General features: G+C 46.5%; 1 protein-coding gene across 3 annotated transcripts; it reads left to right on the plus strand.

The window, feature by feature from the left end:
• The first annotated feature begins 11,596 nt into the window (after positions 1-11,596).
• On the plus strand, positions 11,597-18,114 carry GSTM5 (glutathione S-transferase mu 5). Of its 3 annotated transcripts, XM_005270784.5 has the most exons (9): positions 11,597-11,673; positions 12,139-12,194; positions 12,464-12,539; positions 12,965-13,029; positions 13,330-13,411; positions 13,507-13,607; positions 14,793-14,888; positions 14,976-15,086; positions 17,183-18,114. In XM_005270784.5, exons 2-9 carry the CDS (start codon positions 12,159-12,161, stop codon positions 17,270-17,272), a joined length of 657 nt encoding a protein of 218 aa, XP_005270841.1. In that variant the 5' UTR covers positions 11,597-11,673; positions 12,139-12,158; the 3' UTR covers positions 17,273-18,114. The 3 variants fall into 3 exon arrangements, with proteins under 3 accessions (XP_005270841.1, NP_000842.2, XP_005270842.1); NM_000851.4 differs by lacking the exon at positions 11,597-11,673 and having other exon boundaries at positions 12,097-12,194; XM_005270785.5 differs by lacking the exons at positions 11,597-11,673; positions 12,139-12,194; positions 12,464-12,539; positions 13,330-13,411 and having other exon boundaries at positions 12,959-13,029.
• The last annotated feature ends 1,687 nt before the right edge of the window (positions 18,115-19,801 follow it).

Below are 19,801 nucleotides of genomic sequence, written 5' to 3' on the forward strand. Positions count from 1 at the left end.
TCTCCTGCCCCCGCCTTTCTGTCTCTGTCTCCCCCAGCAAGCTCCGAATGAGCACAACACCATTATAAGAAAAACACTATTTTCTTTTCTCTGAGGTAGCATTCCTGATGTTTGGATTCAGGCTGATAAGTGACAGTGATTTATAATCATCCTTGCCTGTGTTGTCCTTCCCATGTTAGGTCATGTCTGTAGTTTATGACAATCTGTGTCATCCATGCCATTTTCAAAATTTTTGAAAACATATCCAGCCTAATGCTGAGGATAAAATGCCCTTTTGTGTTGTTATTTTTCTTTATCACGCTTTTTGTACTTCATTCAGAATCTTTATCTCTTAACATGTTTTGGCCTGTTTGTGTTTCTTCCACTTGGTGGTAACATCAATTAACATAGAGTTTAGAAAAATGTTTCCCCAATTTAAAAAATCACTTGTACTACATCTTCTTTCTTAGTTCTGATTTGTATTAACTTATAATTATATTTTTTGTTTTTGTTGTACTAATGCTGTGTTAATTACCTAAGTTTTTTTTGTTTTGTTTTGTTTTTGTTTTTGAGACGGAGTCTCGCTCTTTCGCCCAGGCTGGAGTCCAGTGGCACTATCTCGGCTCACTGCAAGCTCCACCTCCCTGGTTCATGCCATTCTCCGGCCTCAGCCTCCCAAGTAGCTGGGACTACAGGTGTCTGCCACCACGCCCAGCTAATTTTTTGTATTGTCAGTGGAGACAGGGTTTCACCATGTTAGCCAGGATGGTCTTGATCTCCTGACCTCGTGATCCGCCCGCCTTGGCCTCCCAAAGTGTGGGGATTACAGGCGTGTAGTTACCTAACTTTTAACAGAATAAACTATTACATATAACAAGCAAATTGGTTAAAGTTTCAATATTTCTCTTAAGGTAACTTATTGCTTCCACTTCTGTTTCCATCTCTAACTTTGTGCCTGTTCTACTTTCTTGAAATTCTAGTTTGTTTGCCTTATTCTTGGTATCACAGGCATGTTGGAAAAATGTTTTCTCAATTCAAATTTGGTAGCATCTTCAAATGGTGATTTTTATTTTCTTCTTTTCAGATTGAAGAAAAGATTCTTTATATTTCAGATTTCCTAAGTTTACCCAAACAATATTTAAGAGACTTTAATACATTTCCATGAATTAGGATACATTTTATTTTGTCTGTCAGTATTTGTTTCTAATAGATTAGTTTTTAAAATTCTGACAACATGTTAGGTAGATTTTCTGTTAATTTGCCTTGAGAATGTAAGAATGTTGTCAGAAGAGACAGAAGGAATTATGAAATCCAGTCCAGAGGTCCCATTACAGGCCCTTGGTAAAGTGGGACCCAGTGCATTTTGACTGTCTGGCACAGCATTGTTTTAAAAATTAGAACTTTTCCACATTTTGCAGTTCAGACAGCACATACAAATGCAGAAGTCCAGGCCCTGTCGGGACTGAGTTTCTGTGTGGTGACAACTGGCTACAACCCCTTCCTTCTGAACACTTGCAGCTTCCCTCATCCCTGCTGCTCCTGATCCCCGTCCACAGACCCACTTTCCCCGCTGGTGTGATCCTTGTGGCCACTATGGCAGCTACTTTGGAGAGCCGCTAGTCCAGTCCTTCCCGCCTTCCGCAGAGCTCTACTCCTGCTTCTGAAGAAGCCACCTGGGGCCTGGCCTTCTTCCTGGCTCCTCAGAGTCCTTGCAACAGCAGGCACTACTTCTCTCTCCTGCACTCAACCCCTCTCCCACTCCACTGCCTCTCAGTGTGCCAAAACACGAAGATGTGTCCTGATTTTCAAAATCTCTCCCCTGAAGTTCCCACCTGATATGTAGTTGGAGATGGGCAAATACAGCGTCCTTGAAGCATCATTTTATTCATAGTGCCTGGAATGTAGTAGGATCTCGACAATTGTTGTTTCAATAAAGGAATGACCAAATATATTAATACTGTAAAAAGTAAAGTAGAGGTTCCTCTTCAAAGAGACTTTTCTCCCCATCTAATTAAGAATAAGTCGTAACTTCTCTTAGAAGCAAAATTTATTCAAAGACCGGTGCTGATATTCTGAAATATCTGCTAGCTGTAATAAAGAAATTAATGTACTTTATGTTCTTAACTCCCACAATTTAGCCTAAATACTTGCCCTGGCATGCTTATACTGATCCAAACAAGCATGAGGTCATAGCCTGTTCCTCTTCCTTATTTGAAGGTGTTTTTACCTTTCTCAGCGTTCCACAAGTGAGTTCCCCCTTCCTTTGTTCTCCTCTGCCTCTGCCTCTTTTAAAAAGTTCTAAGTTGCTAGCCAATCAGGACAAATACAGAATGTGAGGTCCCGTTCCAGCCAGTGGAAACTGGACACAGCAGTAGGGTGGACACATCAAGTTATAAATGACCCTTTCTCCTTTGTTCAGTGTACTCTCGTGGTAAAACTGCTGGCGAGTGTACCCTTTCTGCAGAAAGTAAAAATGGCCTTTGTTGCAGGAAGTCAGGGACCCCGAATGGAGGGACCGGCTGGAGCTGCAGCAGAGGAACATAAATTGCAAATATTTCATTTTAATATGGACATTTATCGGTTCCCAAATTAATACTTTTATAATTTCTTATGCCTGCCTTACTTTAATCTCTTAATCCTGTTATCTTCTTAAGCTGAGGATATAGGTCACCTCAGGACCACTGTGATAATTGTGTTAACTGTACAAATTGATTGTAAAACATGTGTGTTTGAACAATATGAAATCAGTGCACCTTGAAAAAGAACAGAATAACAGCGATATTTAGGGAACAAGAGAAGACAACCATAAGGTCTGACTGTCCGCAGGGTCAGGCAAAATAGAGCCATATTTTTCTTCTTGCAGAGAGCCTATAAATGGACATGCAAGTAGGGAAGATATTGCTAAATTCTTTTCCTAGCAAGGAATATTAATATTAATACTCTGGGAAAGGAAAGCATTCCTGGGGGGAGGTCTATAAATGGTCGCTTTGGGAATGAATGTCTGTCCTATGCAGTTGAGATAAGGACTGAAATACACCCTGGTCTCCTGCAGTACCCTCAGGCTTACTAGGGTGGGGAAAAACCTGGCCCTGGCAAATTTGTGGTCAGACTGGTTCTCTGCTCTTGAACCCTGTGTTCTGTTGTTTAAGATGTTTATCAAGACAATACATGCACCGCTGAACATAGACCCTTATCAGGAGTTCTATTTTGCCCTTGTCCTGTTTCCTCAGAAGCATGTGATCTTTGTTCTGCTTTTTGCCCTTTAAAGCATGTGATCTTCGTACCTACCCCCTGTTCGTACACCCCCTCCCCTTTTGCAATCCTTAATAAAAACTTGCTGGTTTTGAGGCTCGGGCGGGCATTACGGTCCCACTGATATGTGATGTCACCTCCAGCAGCCCAGCTGTAAAATTCCTCTCTTTGTACTCTTTCTCTTTATTTCTCAGCCAGCCGACACTTATGGAAAGTAGAAAGAACCTACATTGAAATACTGGGGGCAGGTTCCCCCAATATCTGGTGCACCAACATGGTTTTCTTTTTCCTAAGTGCATGTGGGAACCTGATTCCCTTTGGTAGGTGTGGAGAAACGATCATCAGTCCAGTCCTCAGAAACGCTTGTTCGGCTCCCTGATGATTGGTGAATTTTCTATGTATTGTCTCGGGTAACTATGGGTCACATGGAGTCTAAATATTATGCTTATCTCTGCTATATTAAACTCCTGTTAAAACAGGGTGGAGTTTGGGTGCCCATGGAAAATATGGTCACCCTATTCAGGGTGTTGGAAGAACACTGTCCTTGGTTTCCTGAAAAGGGAAAATTAGATGTGGAACTATGGGATCGCGTTGGTGCAAAATTCCAGGAACTGATCCCATCAGGAAATTATGTTCCCTTCACTGTTTGGGGTGATTGGGCCTTGGTATGTGCCATCCTAACGACATACCAATCCCGTGACCCCCTGCAGTTACCACAGTTTTCTGAATCTGGCGACCTTCTACCTCTTCCACAGCTTTCCTCTCCCACTCGGGCTTCATTATCTGCTCAGCCTCTCCCTTCGCCTACTCCTCCCCCACCTAACGATATTGAGGATTCAATATCTAACTCCGGTGACTTTGGCTTAATGTCACCCCCGATGGTCTTATTTCTTTTCATGAAGACCTGATACTTGTAGCTCCCATGGCCCTGACTCGGACAGCTCTGCACCATATCTATGCTAACTCTTCCCTTTTCAAATCTTTGCAGGCTTTGCCTCCAGAGCCATCTAATGGCTCCAGACCAAACTACAATTTACCTGTAATTCTGCAGGCCCTCCCCCACCGCAGCCCCTCACCCTCCTGTCATTTCGGTCCCTCAACCAGTCACTTTGCCATTCACTCAACCTGCTTCTCTGTACCCTTCTTCACACATGGACGCCCCTGCCACTCTGGTTGCACAGGATTTCCCAATAATCACCAGTATGCTTCTGTCTCTTCTGCTCCCCCAATGCCCCTTTCTCACACTCTCATACTGGTCTGACCTCCTGAACCTCAGTTTCCCTTATCTACACATACTTTTACTGTCACTTCTATGCCAACTCCATCTCATGTGCCTGCTCTTGAAACTTCCATGCAATGCTTATTACGCCAGAACAAAGAAACAAGTGGATTAGAGGTGTGGGCTTATCCGGTCACGCTGGAACCTCCCAATGCTCAAGGGGTACAAATGCGTTGATATGCACTGCTCAATCTTACCTTTTCAAAAGAATTCAAGGATGCTTGTGCTCAGTATGGTCCTGCTTCTCCATATGTTAAAATGGCATTACAGACTCTTTGTACTGAGGTCATTTTGCTTCCTTCAGAATGGGACCTTTTGGCGAAAGCTGTTCTAACTCCATCTCAGCATTTACAATTCTGTACCTGGTGGTCAGAGGAGGCCCGTCTGCAGGCTCAGCTAAATTGGGTTGATGGCATTCTAATTACTCAGGCTCAGCTCACAGGCTCTGATAATCACTCTGACACTACCGCCCAATTAGACTTTGACGCTCTCACCACGGAACAAGTAACAAAGTTGTGTATGAGAGTTTGGGATAAACTAGGTGCCCCAGGCCAAGCTCCTGTTTCTTTTACTACTGTTAAACAGGGTCGCAGTGAATTACATCCTGATTTTTTGGCTAAATTACAAGATGCTGTTCAAAATCTGTCTCTGATGATTACGCTCAAGGTATTCTCCTTCATATGTTAGCTTTTGAGAATGCGAACCATGAGTGTAAAGTGGTCATGCGTTCTGTCTAATGACAAAATTTACCTGATCACGAGGTGTGCCTGCATATATTAAAGCTTGTGAAAGCATTGGATCAGAGACCCACAAAGCTATTCTGTGGGCACGGGCCATGAAGGATGGCAATCAAACTGGCTTGACTGAATTCTTTTCTTGGAGCCTGCTATAATTGTGGTCAACTTCATCATACCCAAAAAAATTGCACTGTTAAAAGCGGCCAAGCCAGCTCAACAAACATGGCCAAATGCTCCTGCTACTGTTTGCCCTCATTGTCGTAAAGGTAAACACTGGGCAAGTACTTGCCACTCTAAGTCTGATATAGATGGCAATCCCTTGCCACAGAACCAGGGAAATGGGAAGCAGGGCCAGTCCCAGGCCCCAGTATCAAATGGGACACCTCAGACTCAGACCAATATTGTGTTTCTGCTTCAAGCGGTCCCAATACAGCCCCCAGCACAAGCAAATTTACCTACAGCCAACCCAGATGGGTCCCAGTCGCTTCTTCTGTCTCAGTACAATGCTTGTCTACCTCCACAGTAGGGGGCAGGGCGGTCAATCTCTGTAGTACCACTCCTCTAAATTTACTACCGAATTCTTTGCCTTTAATTGTCCCCACGGGGGCCACTGGCCCTTTACCTCAAGGTTTGGTGGGCCTGGTGTTAGGTAGGGCATCCACCTCTGCTAAAGGTATCATAGTTCATACTGGTCTCATTAATTCTGATTCCTCTGATGAGATTAAAATAATCGTGTCTGCCAAGGTTCCTGTTTCCATTCCGGCCAGTGAGTCAATTGCTCAACTACTTTTACTACCTAATATTGTTTTAAACAAAGGAGATAAGACAGGGGGCCCTGGGATGGGCTCTGGCGGTGAAAAAGCCGCTTATTGGATTAAAGTAATTTCTAAACAACAGCCCACCTGCACCATACATATTAAAGGAAAAAAGTTTGAGGGCCTAGTAGATACTGGGGCTGATGTTTCTATTATTTCCTCTAATTTATGGCCTTCTTCCTGGCTTAAACATCCCACTAACATGGGACTAGTAAGGGTTGGAAAAGCTGATGAAGTTCACCAAAGCACATTTATCTTGCCTTGCACTGGGCCTGATGGTCAAAAGGGAACAATTCAGCCTTATATCATGCCAATCCCCATTAATCTTTGGGGTAGATATTTGCTGGAACAATGGGGGGCTGAAATTAATATTCCACATAACTCTTCTCGTGCTCCCAGTCAACATATAATGGAAAACGTGGGGACTGTTCCTGGACTCAGTCTCGGTCCAAAACATGAAGGAATTACTAAATTCCTTTATGGTTTAAAAGCATAATTTAACCACTCCCCACTCCCAATTCCATTTAGCATTGTTTACTTTAAACTTTCTAAATGTTCCTAAAGACAATACTCTGACTGCAGCCGAACACCATTATACAGGCAAAAAATTCTCCCTAAATGAAAGCAAGCCAGTGTTATGGAAAAACTCCCAGACAAATACCTGGGAACCTGGAACAATTATAATGTGGGGAAGAGGGTATGCTTGTGTTTCACCAGGAGATCATCAATCCCCTGTCTGGGTGCCCACTAGAAGACTTTAACTTCGTGTGAATACTGACAATGAAAAACACAGGGAAGAGATGTCCACGTCAGAGACTGCCCTCATACCTGGTGAGATCTGTGCCAACTCCTCAAAAACTGGCACACCAAATCAAAATGGATCTCATTCAATCCTCCCTAATGGCAACAGAGACCCCTCTAACTAATCCCACTTCTCCTAATTACCTTTCTTTTTCTCCTTACAAACCTGAAAATCTCACCATTTCTATTAGCCTGAAAATAACATCCCTCTGTTCTTCTCTTCCTCCTTCAGCACTGGATCTCGCTTACAATAGGTTTTATTTAATAATTCTACTCCTTATACTTTCTGTCTCACCAGTTTCCCCTCACACTGATTTGCCTGCTACACAAAATTATTCTTATTGGGCTTATGTGCCTTTTCCTCCACTTATTCGACCTCTCACCTGGATGAATGCTCCTGCGGAAATCTACACTAACGATAGTGTGTAGATGCCTGGAGCTATAGATGACCATTGCCCTGCTCAACCAGGAGAAGAAGGCACTGCATTTAATGTTACTATGGGTTATAAATACCCTCCTCTGTGCCTCGGACATGCAACTCGTTGTATCCATCTAGAAACTCAAGTCTGGGCTGCTTATCTTCTGGAGAGATTAGCTACAGGAAAATGGGGACATTTGGTCTCCGGCCTCTCCCTTTGTCCTTTAAGACAAATGAAAAGGGGAGTAATAGGAGATACCCCATACTTTCAATATAAACCTGTAGGAAAACTATGTCCTAAAAATTTTGAGGGCCCATCTAAAACTTTAATTTGGGGAGATTGTGTTAACTCACATGCAGTAGTATTAAAAAATGACTCATATGCTTTAGTAATAGACTGGGCACCAAAGGGCTATTTAAAAAACACTTGCTCCTCTGGGGGAGGGGAATTCCTGGAGGCTACTTATTTTATTTCTTATTGGGAGGACGAGGATCATCATCCTACTTTGCATAGGTGGTTCGGCTCATTCTTTACCTTAAAATGGGAAGATAAGGACATTACCCTCCACCCCCAAGGCCTTGTATGATATTCCCCATTCTGAGCCCAGAACACCCAGAACTTTCGAAATTGGCTATTGTCATGTCTGGACTGCCAGTATCTGTGATTCTGAACCCCATGATAAATCCCCTTTGAACCTTTTTCCTCTTTTTGATGCCGATCCTCCTTTACGGGACTCCAATTGGCATTACGATAATTCTTATCGACCCAGGTATGCCCCTCTACTTCTTCAGCATCCCCAGGCACCTCGGTTTGCTTCTTTATGGTGGAGAACATCGGGCATTGCCACCGCCGCTCCTCTCCCTCAGTATCAACATAGATTCAAGCATTCTGCTTTGTTTACCTCCAACCTGACTATTCCTATACAGAGTTGTGTTAAGCTTCCTTACATGCTGTTAGTGGCAAATATCAAAATTTGGACAAACAATCAAACTGTCCAATGCATTGTCATTTATACACTTGTGTTGACTCCCGTTTTGACTCCAGGAAAAGTGTAATGTTGGTTGGAGCTCGAGAAGGAATCTGGATACTGTGTGCCGGACCAGCCAAAGAATCCTGTGTCAAAACCGAGAGAACGAATAAGCCTTCATCACCATGGCACATTTATATAAAAAGAAAGGGAGAGATGTTGCGGGAAGTCAGGGACCCCGAATGGAGGGACTGACTGGAGCCGCGGCAGAGGAACATAAATTGCAAATATTTCATTTTAATATGGACATTTATCAGTTCCCAAATTATTACTTTTTACATTTCTTACGCCTGTCTTACTTTAATCTCTTAATCCTGTTATCTTCATAAGCTGAGGATATATGTCACCTCAGGACCACTGTGATAATTGTGTTAACTGTACAAATTGATTGTAAAACATGTGTGTTTGCACAATATGAAATCAGTGCACCTTGAAGAAGAACAGAATAACAGTGATTTTTAGGCAACAAGAGAAGACAACCATAAGGTCTGACTGCGTGCAGGGTCAGGCAAAATAGAGCCATATTTTTCTTCTTGCAGGGAGCCTATAAATGGACATGGAAGTAGGGAAGATATTGCTAAATTCTTTTCCTAGCAAGGAATATTACTATTAATACTCTGGGAAAGGAATGCATTCCTGGGGGGAGGTCTATAAACGGCCGCTCTGGGAATGTCTGTCCTATGCAGTTGAGACAAGGACTGAAGTACACCCTGGTCTCCTGCAGTACCCTCAGGCTTACTAGGGTGGGGAAAAACCTGGCCCTGGCAAATCTGTGGTCAGACTGGTTCTCTGCTCTTGAACCCTGTGTTCTGTTGTTTAAGATGTTTATCAAGACAATACGTGCACTGCTGAACATAGACCCTTATCAGGAGTTCTACTTTTGCCCTTGTCCTGTTTCCTCAGAAGCATGTGATCTCTGTTCTGTTTTTTGCCCCTTAAAGCATGTGATCTTTGTACCTACCCCCCGTTCGTACACCCCCTCCCCTTTTGCAATCCTTAATAAAAGCTTGCTGGTTTTGAGGCTCGGGCCGGCATCACGGTCCTACTGATATGTGATGTCACCCCTGGCGGCCCAGCTGTAAAATTCCTCTCTTTGTACTCTTTCTCTTTATTTCTCAGCCAGCTGACACTTATGGAAAATAGAACCTATGTTGAAATACTGGGGGCAGTTTCCCCGATAGCCTTGCTGAGGAAATTAAATTTATGTTCAAGTGCTATTTCTTTATGGAACCAAGGAACAAGTATTTCAAACAATACTAATGTAACAGTACTGGTTCTATGTGTTTCAAAATTATTATTCTCATGAGTGTTAGCTTTCTTAAAAAATCGTTTTTATCAATTGGATCTAGACATCTTATCTTTCACAGCTCAAGACCCATTAACTCAAAATCATAAACTCTTAATGCATAATGAGAAATATAATGATTCCTAGGGCCAGGCACTTGTGTCTGTGCTGGTGCTATTGCCTCAATGCAGGAAAATCTATGTGAGAATTCACTGTGAGGCCAAAACTGCTTCCTAAACATGGATACCTGCCAGGTATCTGAGCTGGGAGTACTGCCCAGGTCTGGATGGGTGGGGAGTGTTTGCAACAAGGACTGTGCCTTGCCAGCCTCAGTGACACAGTGTCCAAGTGCCCCAACTTAGCAGCCACCTGCTGACCACCTGATTTCTGTGGCCTAATAGGGATGTGATGAAGTCTACCTGTTTACTCAACCCCAAACCACACATTATCCAGGTGGTTTGAAACTTTTTTGATATACTGGGTTCATCCTCTGGAGTCCTAACAATGTTTTAGCTAATTTACAAAAAAACAAAAACAAAAACAAAAAACAAAAAACTACTTTTTTTGCAGCACAACAGCCTGGTTTACATTGCAAAATGATTTCTCATTAAAGGTCTATCATCTATTTCCATATATCCATTATTATTTGTAATATCCTTTAAAAAAAGCAGTCAACCCCAGGCTAATCCATTGCACAACTCTTTTGAAAGTCTTCCTTCTACCTTGAAAGAAGAAAGTTGGCAGGTTGGACATTGTTCTTGCGGAGGTTGTACCATGGGTCACATATCACGGTGTGACTTCAAAGGCCACTGGAGCCACCGTCTCATACTGAAGAACACACATGGGTCAGGAGCCAGGTCCAGGTCCGGCATGGTGGATCTGGAGAGGGGAGAGTCCCTGCCTGTGATCCTGTGGGGAGCCCTCAGGCTCCTCTCTGGCCACCATCCTCTGACCTCCCTCCTCAGCAGGACAGGGTTCTGGCTTCTCTGAGGGACAGGTTCTGTGGCAGACCAGGTGTCACTAACACAGGCCTCCATAACAACTGTTTCAGTACTGACTGAGTGATGAAATTAAATATTAAAAGCTGAAAAAAGCCAGTACCTTTATACAGAGGCTGGATGTAACAAAAGCCCACCAAGAGTTTTGCTTAGGCCTTTCCTGGGCCTTAAAGCATGACAAAACAACGAAGGAATTCTTAACAGGACCTATTTAGAATTAAACAAGTTTTATTGTGAGTCTGAAGAAACTCCCCAGGCCTCCACAAACAAGTTTACTGGGCATCTGAAGGAACTCCCCAAACCTCCATGATTTAGCAGGAGACAAGATAAGGGCAATCATCCCCCGCACCTGGACCCATTTAGATTAAGTAAATAGACTGAGGCTCCAGAGTAAGGTCCTCAGGACCCAGACCTCAGTTACAGATTAAAGAAGTTAATCACTTATGTCTTTAGATGAATGCACACTTACTTGTAGACATATACCTTAGAAGGTATATATGCTCTGGAAAACTTTAATTTTGAGTTGGTCTGGTAGTAATTTCCAGGCCTTCTCCCTGTAACTGGTTGCAGAAATAAAACCTCTCTTCCTCCCCATTTGATCTGCATCTCGTTATTGGGCCTAGAGAAATAGCAGCCGGACCCTCAGTTTGGTCCGGGAAGTTCTTCCATCCTCCCTCGCCTGCTCTCTGTGGCCACTGCACTCACTGTTGCTGTTGCTGTTCCGGTCTCTGTGAGGTTCACCTAGTGGACTGGCTGGACATTTCTAGGGGGCACCTCAGATACCTCACCAACTTGCTGGATCTGATCCTTGGATTTCGATTCATAAATTGTGCCAAAATACGAAGTGGCTAATTTACATAGTACTTAGCCAGATGACCGAAGGACTCAGTATCCAAAGGCCCCTAACAGAAAACACAGACCACATTTCCTTTACTCTGGCCCTTTTCCTGGGGGTCCTTCCTATACCACTGACACTGTTCCTGTGTAGGCGGGGCTAGAGGGGAGACTAAGCCCTCGGAGTAGCTTTCGGATCAGAGGAAGTCCTGCTCTTACAGTGACAGGGGCTGAATTAAATTCCCAGGTTGGGACCACCACTTTTTAGTCTGACCCCTGCAGCCGGAGTCTCCCAGAGCCCTTGGGAACTCGGCAGCGGAGAGAAGGCTGAGGGATTCTGCGGGCAGGGAGGAGAAGGGAGAAGAGCTTTGCTCCGTTAGGATCTGGCTGGTGTCTCAAGCGCACAGCCAAGTCGCTGTGGACCTAGCAAGGGCTGGATGGACTCATGGAGCCTCAGGGCGGGTTGGGGAAGCTGGCGAGGCCGAGCCCCGCTTTGGGCTTCTGGGCGCCCTGACCTCGCTCCCGGAACCCTGGGGACTGGGAGGCGGGAGGGGGCTTATTGATTCCAGCCCCGGGCGCTCGCTCGGGGGCCTACAGAATGGCGTGTTTCGGGGTTGTGGCGGGCCGAGGGGCGGGGTCGCAGCAAGGCCCCGCCTGTCCCCTCCTGGGCCTCTCAAAGTCTGAGCCCCGCTCCGCTGATGCCTGTCTGCAGAATCCGCACCAACCAGCACCATGCCCATGACTCTGGGGTACTGGGACATCCGTGGGGTAAGCGAGGGTCCTCTGGTGGGTGGGACAGGGGGCGGAGGCGGGGATGTGTGGAGTAGCTGCAGGACTGGCTCTAGGGACCGTTCCTCTTCAGGGCTGCCCGCCTCAGAAGGGCCTGTGCATGACGCTGTGTGTGTGTTTGGGGGTGGGGGCGGGTAGAGGAGGCGACGGGTACGTGCAGTATAGACTAGGGGCTGGCCTGGTGCAGAGAAAGTCACCAAGTCAGGGACCCTCCATCTCTGACCCGAGCCGCGGGCCATCTCTCCCAGCTGGCCCACGCCATCCGCTTGCTCCTGGAATACACAGACTCAAGCTATGTGGAAAAGAAGTACACGCTGGGGGACGGTAATGGCACCCTCGTGTCCGGGCCCTGCCCACTCACGCTGAGTTGGCACCAAGCAACCCATGGTGGCCACCTGTGGCTGCCTCTGCAGGCCTCCCCTGCTGGAGCTGCAGGCTGTCCCTTCCCTGAGCTCCCGTGAGTGAGCCCTCTGGCCTTGCAAGGCAGAATGCTGGGGCGGGATGCTGGACACCCTGTCTAATTGGGTTGGGTGTCCCTCAGAGCTTCCCTAAACCCTGGAAGCCTTAGCCGTTGTGGGGTCCAGAGCCCTCAGTGGGATTCTTTCTCCCTGAACCCTGGGATGTGGGACTGAGTGGTCAGATTCTAGATCCACCTGTCTCAGGGATCTTGCCACTGGCTCCTTGGGAGGGTCCCCGGGAAGGAGGGCTGGGCTCTGGGGAGGTTTGTTTTCACTTCTTCCCCACCACAGCTCCTGACTATGACAGAAGCCAGTGGCTGAATGAAAAATTCAAGCTGGGCCTGGACTTTCCCAATGTAGGTGCAGGGGAAGGGGCGGTTTTGGGGGAAAGTGCGACGTGTCTCTGACTGCATCTCCTCTCCCCACCTTAGAGGTGTTAAGATCAGGAGTCTTCTGCCCAATTCCTCTCACTCTTGGCTGTCTACACAGCCCTTGCATGATGTTCTGTGTCCCAGCTCATTTATTAGTGTGACAGTATTTCTATCTCAGGCCTGCCATGAGCAGGCCCTGGTCTCCTCTCTGCCCTTGCATATGGGAAGGGGATGCTGGGGAGCCTGGTGGCCCAACTGAGCTTCCCCGGTTTCCCATCTATCCAGCTGCCCTACTTGATTGATGGGGCTCACAAGATCACCCAGAGCAATGCCATCCTGCGCTACATTGCCCGCAAGCACAACCTGTGTGAGTGTGGGTGGCTGCAATGTGCGGGGGGAAGGTGACCTCCTCCTTGGCTGGGCTGTGATGCTGAGATTGAGTCTGTGTTTTGTGGGTGGCAGGTGGGGAGACAGAAGAGGAGAAGATTCGTGTGGACATTTTGGAGAACCAGGTTATGGATAACCACATGGAGCTGGTCAGACTGTGCTATGACCCAGATTTTGTGAGTCCCACACCCCACTCCCAGTCACCCATTTCCCTGCCTTTTGGCCCAGACCAGGGAGGGACTTCCAAAGTCAGGTCTGTAGCAGACTCCGGCCAGCTGACTGGAGACGTCTATAACCTGGTTCTCCAAAATGTCCACACGAATCTTCTCCTCTTCTGAAGATTCTTGTGGACATTTTGGAGAACCAGACCACGGACAACTGGATGCAACTGGTCATGATCTGCTACCACCCAGAGTTTGTGAGTCTCCCCAGTGAGCTGCACCTGGCAGAGTTTGGATTTGGGGCCAGGACTCTTGCATTCCTGCACGCACTGGTCTTTTCTTAAGTCCTTGGTACCACTCATCCTCCAAGTGCTTTCCCATACTATCAGCAGTTATTCTCACGACTCCAATGTCATGTCAACAAAAGCAGAGGCAATTCCCACCAATCTTAGGACACGATCCAGGCATCCCACGGTGGAAATTCAATTCCTAGATGGTAAAATTTGTGTTCAGAATCTCCTTCATCTCCTCTGGCCTCTGGCCTCTGTCATGGGTCATTTCTGTCAGTTGATTTATATCACCTACCTGCTCCTAGAATATACAGACTCAAGTACAAGACCAAGGAATGTAATGGCACCCTCAAATTGCATCTTCTCCTCAAAGTTTTCCAAGTGCTGTCATTGACATGCACCGGGATCTGCGCATTTTCATAACAGACAGCTCAGAGGCAGCCAGAGGGCCTTTATTCCTCTCCCTCCTTCCTTTCAACTTGAACTTCTCATCTCCCTGGAAACTAGTCAATGTTCATTGTTTTCTTCTGTCACCCCATTAGAAGGAACTTTCTACTTCTTTCCCTGAGCTCCTTTAGTTCTTTGCATCCTTGATTCTGCCCCTGTCTGGATCCAGAGGCTGCCAGGTGCTCGGGCGCTCATGCGGCTGACCCAGAGGCTATTGGGAGGCCAGTGAGGACAGATTCAGGAAGAGCATCTCATTCTGATCACTTCAGATAGGGTCTGGCACCCAGTCAGAGTCTAATAAATGCTGATGTATCCAATTGAAGCCTGGGCACTGCCCCGGTTTTAGTTGTGGGGAAGATGGCTGCTTGCCTGTGGCCAGCCTGGGCCATCTACAGCCCTGGGGAGGCCACGTCTGTGCAGGGAGCTTTTGTCTGAGGGTGGTGACAGCTGTTTTCTGCCTCAGGAGAAACTGAAGCCAAAATACTTGGAGGAACTCCCTGAAAAGCTAAAGCTCTACTCAGAGTTTCTGGGGAAGCGGCCATGGTTTGCAGGAGACAAGGTAAAGGAGGAGTGATATGGGGAATGAGATCTGTTTTACTTCATGTGTTTCGGGGTTTTCAGCCCACACATTCTTGGCCTTCTTCAGATCACCTTTGTGGATTTCCTTGCCTATGATGTCCTTGACATGAAGCGTATATTTGAGCCCAAGTGCTTGGACGCCTTCCTAAACTTGAAGGACTTCATCTCCCGCTTTGAGGTGATGCCCCCATCCTCCTTTCTCTTTGATGCCCCTTGTTCCTTTCTCTCCTTTCAGATGCTTTCCCAGTCCTGGAGCTACACAAAGAATAACTCGTATGTATTGAGTACGGGCTTCATGCCAGGAATCATGCCCAGCACATTATACCTATCGTGTAGAATTTGAAATTTCCAACATTCCTACAGGGTGACAGAATTATCTTGCCCATTTTAGAGATAAGAAAACTGAGAATGAGAGGGTCAGTCCTTTGCTCAGGGTCCCAGAGCCAGTGGAGGCTGTGCTGGGCTCCCTGTGAGCCTCTGGATCTATGGGTGGCAGTCAGGGCTCTCCCATTTGTGACAAAAGGAGAAGCCTCAGGCCTCATCCAGCCTGGGTTTCACAGCCCAGAACACTTTGAAAGAGGCAGAGCACTTCAGGACCACGGATGCAGCTGGCAATAGTAGGACTGACACACAGTGGCATTGATGTTGAGTACTAAACCTGCAGGCAGTATTCATAGCCACCCCCAGAAGCTTTGCATGATCGGACCCCCATGTGGAAAATCCTGAGATCCGGAGCTGTGGCTGGAGCTGGATTAGGGTACATATGTGGGTGCCCCTGTTGAAGCAGTGTGTGTTGAAGTGCTCTGTGCTGGGGCACTCTCCTTCTTTATCTTTCTTCCTCTCTTTTTTTCCCTCCAATGTTCCACGTCTTCCCCCTGTGAGATGAGTAGCACACTGATTTTACTCCTATTCACCGACCTTCTCCTCTGCATGAGGCAGGGTGTGAGGCACAGTGGGAGTTGCATAGATGACTGCCCCATCCTGGAAATGAGTGCAGTGAGAGGCCTGCAGGCAGAGCAGCCTGTGAGGTGTGTGTGGCACCACCTGGGTACCGGGCCTGGGGCCTGCCCCTCACTCACGGGGAACCATCCCTCACCTGTGTTGAAGTTGTTTGAGAGCAGCAAATCCTACTTTAGTACAGATTTGGGGATTTGAGGCATTAGTCCAACAGGCTTCTGAGCCTAGAATCTGTTTCCCTTTCCCACTCCCCATCAAGAAATCTGCTTGCTCAGCTAGTTCCCATCAGCTCTGGTTCTGGTCCAGCCTGAGCAGCCTTGGGGTTATGTAAGAGGTGGTGGGAGGGGAGCGGTGGGGAACAGCCGAGGGCTGGGGCATGGAGCCTGCCTGGGCCTGGCCCTGGCCCTTTGGGGAGAGGGAGCCCTGGATCTCTTTGAATTCTTTAGAAGTTACATGGTCATTGAATCCTGGTAAGATTGTGTGCAGCACACCTGAGTGTCATGTGGCCTGGCTAGCAGTAGTAGGGCTGGAGATGTGATGGGGGCACAGGGACATAGGGAGATTTAGCTCAGGTACCAGGTGGAGAAGTTTGGACTTTATGCTTTAATGGGAATGATTAGAGCCTGGTCTGGCCTTCCTTTGGTGGTTCACCCTTACCCTATTCAGTTTCATCCAGGTTTTGCTAAGTCATTGGGTGAGATCTGTGCTCTCTTCTTGGCTGCACAGGTGTGTTCTGAGCCCCTTTGTTCTGCTGGAGGTCCTTTCTGTGTGTGCAATCCTAGGCAAGCCAAGAACCTCCCTGTGAAAAAGGAGAATGTTTGTGCCGACAAGGAGTGACAGGATCTGGCATGGGGTGTGGCTGGGTGGAAGAGGAGGAGAATTTGGCAAAAACATGCTAGAACTGAAGACAGAACCAGGCTATATTCCAGCCCTGTCCCACTTACTAGCTATTTGAGTGTGAGGAAGTTGCTGAACTTCTGTTCTTCTATATGAGAAACGGTGATAATAGAACTGACCATGGAGGGTAGTCGAGTGGATTTTCTAAGCCTGTGTTGTAATTTCTGTTGGATATAAAGCACCCAGCACAGTGTAGATCTTTCGTAAATGGTAGCTGTTATTATGGTATAACATTACTTAAAGGAAGTTGGAAGAGTTAACTTAGAAGAGCTGGGGACCTAAGAGACCGTGTGATGCTCCAGCACTTGAGCCCACATGGAAAGGCTGTGGCCAGGGCCCTGACCTGCTGTGCCTGCAGCAAAGCTACTTGAGCCCTTCTAGACAGCAGACCTGGCTCTGGCCCCTTCTTCCCGCCCTCAGGGTTTGAAGAAGATCTCTGCCTACATGAAGTCCAGCCAATTCCTCCGAGGTCTTTTGTTTGGAAAGTCAGCTACATGGAACAGCAAATAGGGCCCAGTGATGCCAGAAGATGGGAGGGAGGAGCCAACCTTGCTGCCTGCGACCCTGGAGGACAGCCTGACTCCCTGGACCTGCCTTCTTCCTTTTTCCTTCTTTCTACTCTCTTCTCTTCCCCAAGGCCTCATTGGCTTCCTTTCTTCTAACATCATCCCTCCCCGCATCGAGGCTCTTTAAAGCTTCAGCTCCCCACTGTCCTCCATCAAAGTCCCCCTCCTAACGTCTTCCTTTCCCTGCACTAACGCCAACCTGACTGCTTTTCCTGTCAGTGCTTTTCTCTTCTTTGAGAAGCCAGACTGATCTCTGAGCTCCCTAGCACTGTCCTCAAAGACCATCTGTATGCCCTGCTCCCTTTGCTGGGTCCCTACCCCAGCTCCGTGTGATGCCCAGTAAAGCCTGAACCATGCCTGCCATGTCTTGTCTTATTCCCTGAGGCTCCCTTGACTCAGGACTGTGCTCGAATTGTGGGTGGTTTTTTGTCTTCTGTTGTCCACAGCCAGAGCTTAGTGGATGGGTGTGTGTGTGTGTGTGTTGGGGGTGGTGATCAGGCAGGTTCATAAATTTCCTTGGTCATTTCTGCCCTCTAGCCACATCCCTCTGTTCCTCACTGTGGGGATTACTACAGAAAGGTGCTCTGTGCCAAGTTCCTCACTCATTCGCGCTCCTGTAGGCCGTCTAGAACTGGCATGGTTCAAAGAGGGGCTAGGCTGATGGGGAAGGGGGCTGAGCAGCTCCCAGGCAGACTGCCTTCTTTCACCCTGTCCTGATAGACTTCCCTGATCTAGATATCCTTCGTCATGACACTTCTCAATAAAACGTATCCCACCGTATTGTAATCATGGTACTTGTTTTTCACCCAAACTCAATCATAAATTTATTGAAGAGAAAAGCCATGTCTTACTGAACTTTTTACCTCGAGTATCATTCACAGTTCCTGAAATACAGTAAATGTTTAACACATGTGAAAATTTGAAAGAATTCCCTCAAGGGAAGATTCTGCCAACCTGTACAGTCATTATTGGGATTTAGAGCTCTGGATATAGTTGTATTAACCAGAGAAGATATAGGATAACGTTCAGAAGATTTTACATGTACGTGTCTTAGAGAATGAGCCAGCAGCTCTCTGTAACTTCAGCTTTAATAGCTGCTAGCTGTCCTTTGAATAGCTTAACCTGAGATGGGGCAGCCTGGTTTGTTGGGTCACACAGTAGCAATCTGTGTGGTCAGCAGGTGTCAGTATTTTATATGAAGTCATCTGCAAAGGAGCAGGACTCATTGGATAACCATCTGATGAGCAGGTTCCTCCAACAGTGGCTGGATAGTGGAGTTGGGCCTTGGTAAGGCCCAGCCTTGAGATGTAGCCCAGAACAGGGAGATTTTGAGGAGAGTCTTGTGGGGCCATTGTCCAGATGATCACTGCCTGCAGCTGCACTTGAAAAGGGAGCAATAGGTGTAATGTTAAGGACATTAAGAAGTAAATGACTAATTTGCTGGGCACAATGGCTCACTCCTGTAATCAATCCCAGCACTTTGGGAGGCCCATGCTGGTGGATCGCTTTAGTCTAGGAGTTCAAGACCAGCCCAGGCCACATGGCGAAACCCTATCTCTACAAAAAATACAAAAATTAGCTGGGCATGGTGGTGCTCACCCAGTTAGGAGGCTGAGGTAGGAGGATCGCTTGACCCCGGGAAGTCAAGGCTGCAGTGAGCCAAGATCGCACCACTGCACTCCAGCCTGGGCGACAGTGAGCCCTTGTCTCAAAAAAAAAAAAAAAAAAAAAATTTGAGCAAAGTTAGAATCTTATGAAACTGGTAAGAAAAATTAGTTGAGCCAAATATTTATGAATGCTTAACTTCAATACAGAAGGGATAAAAATAAAAAGGAAAAAGTAATAGAAGTTAGGAGTTAATACTATGATAAAAGATAAGTAGACAGTATGAAAATATTAGACGAGTAAAATAGACATAGATCTAGAACAGATGTCAGCAAACACTTTTTGCAAAGGGCTGGTAGTGAACATTTTAGGCTTTGCAGGCCAATGGGCTCTGTCATAATGACTCAGCGTTATTATCATAGTGTAAAAGCAGTCATAGACAATACATAAATGAATGGTGGGACACTGCATTCCAATGGAACTTTATTTACAAACACAGATGACTGCAACAAAACAAAAACCGAACAACCTGATTCAAAAGTGGGCAAAGGATTTGAATAGACATTTCTCCAGAGAAGATATAAAAATGTCCACTAAGCACATGAAAAAATGCTCACTATGACTCATCATTAGAGAAATGCAAATCCAAACTATAACGAGATGCCACCTCACACCGGTTAGGATGGTATTGAAAAGCAGAAAATCACAAGTGCTGGTGAGAGTATGGAGATACTGGTGCACTGTTGTGCACTGTCGGTAAGAATGCAAAATGGTACAGCCACAGTGGAAAACAGTATGGCAGTTCCTCAAAAAATTAAACATAAAATTACTATATGATGCAGCAATTCAATTTCTGAGTATACACCCA

This window comes from Homo sapiens, chromosome 1 (assembly GCF_000001405.40).
Source record: "Homo sapiens chromosome 1, GRCh38.p14 Primary Assembly".
NCBI lineage: Eukaryota > Metazoa > Chordata > Mammalia > Primates > Hominidae > Homo > Homo sapiens.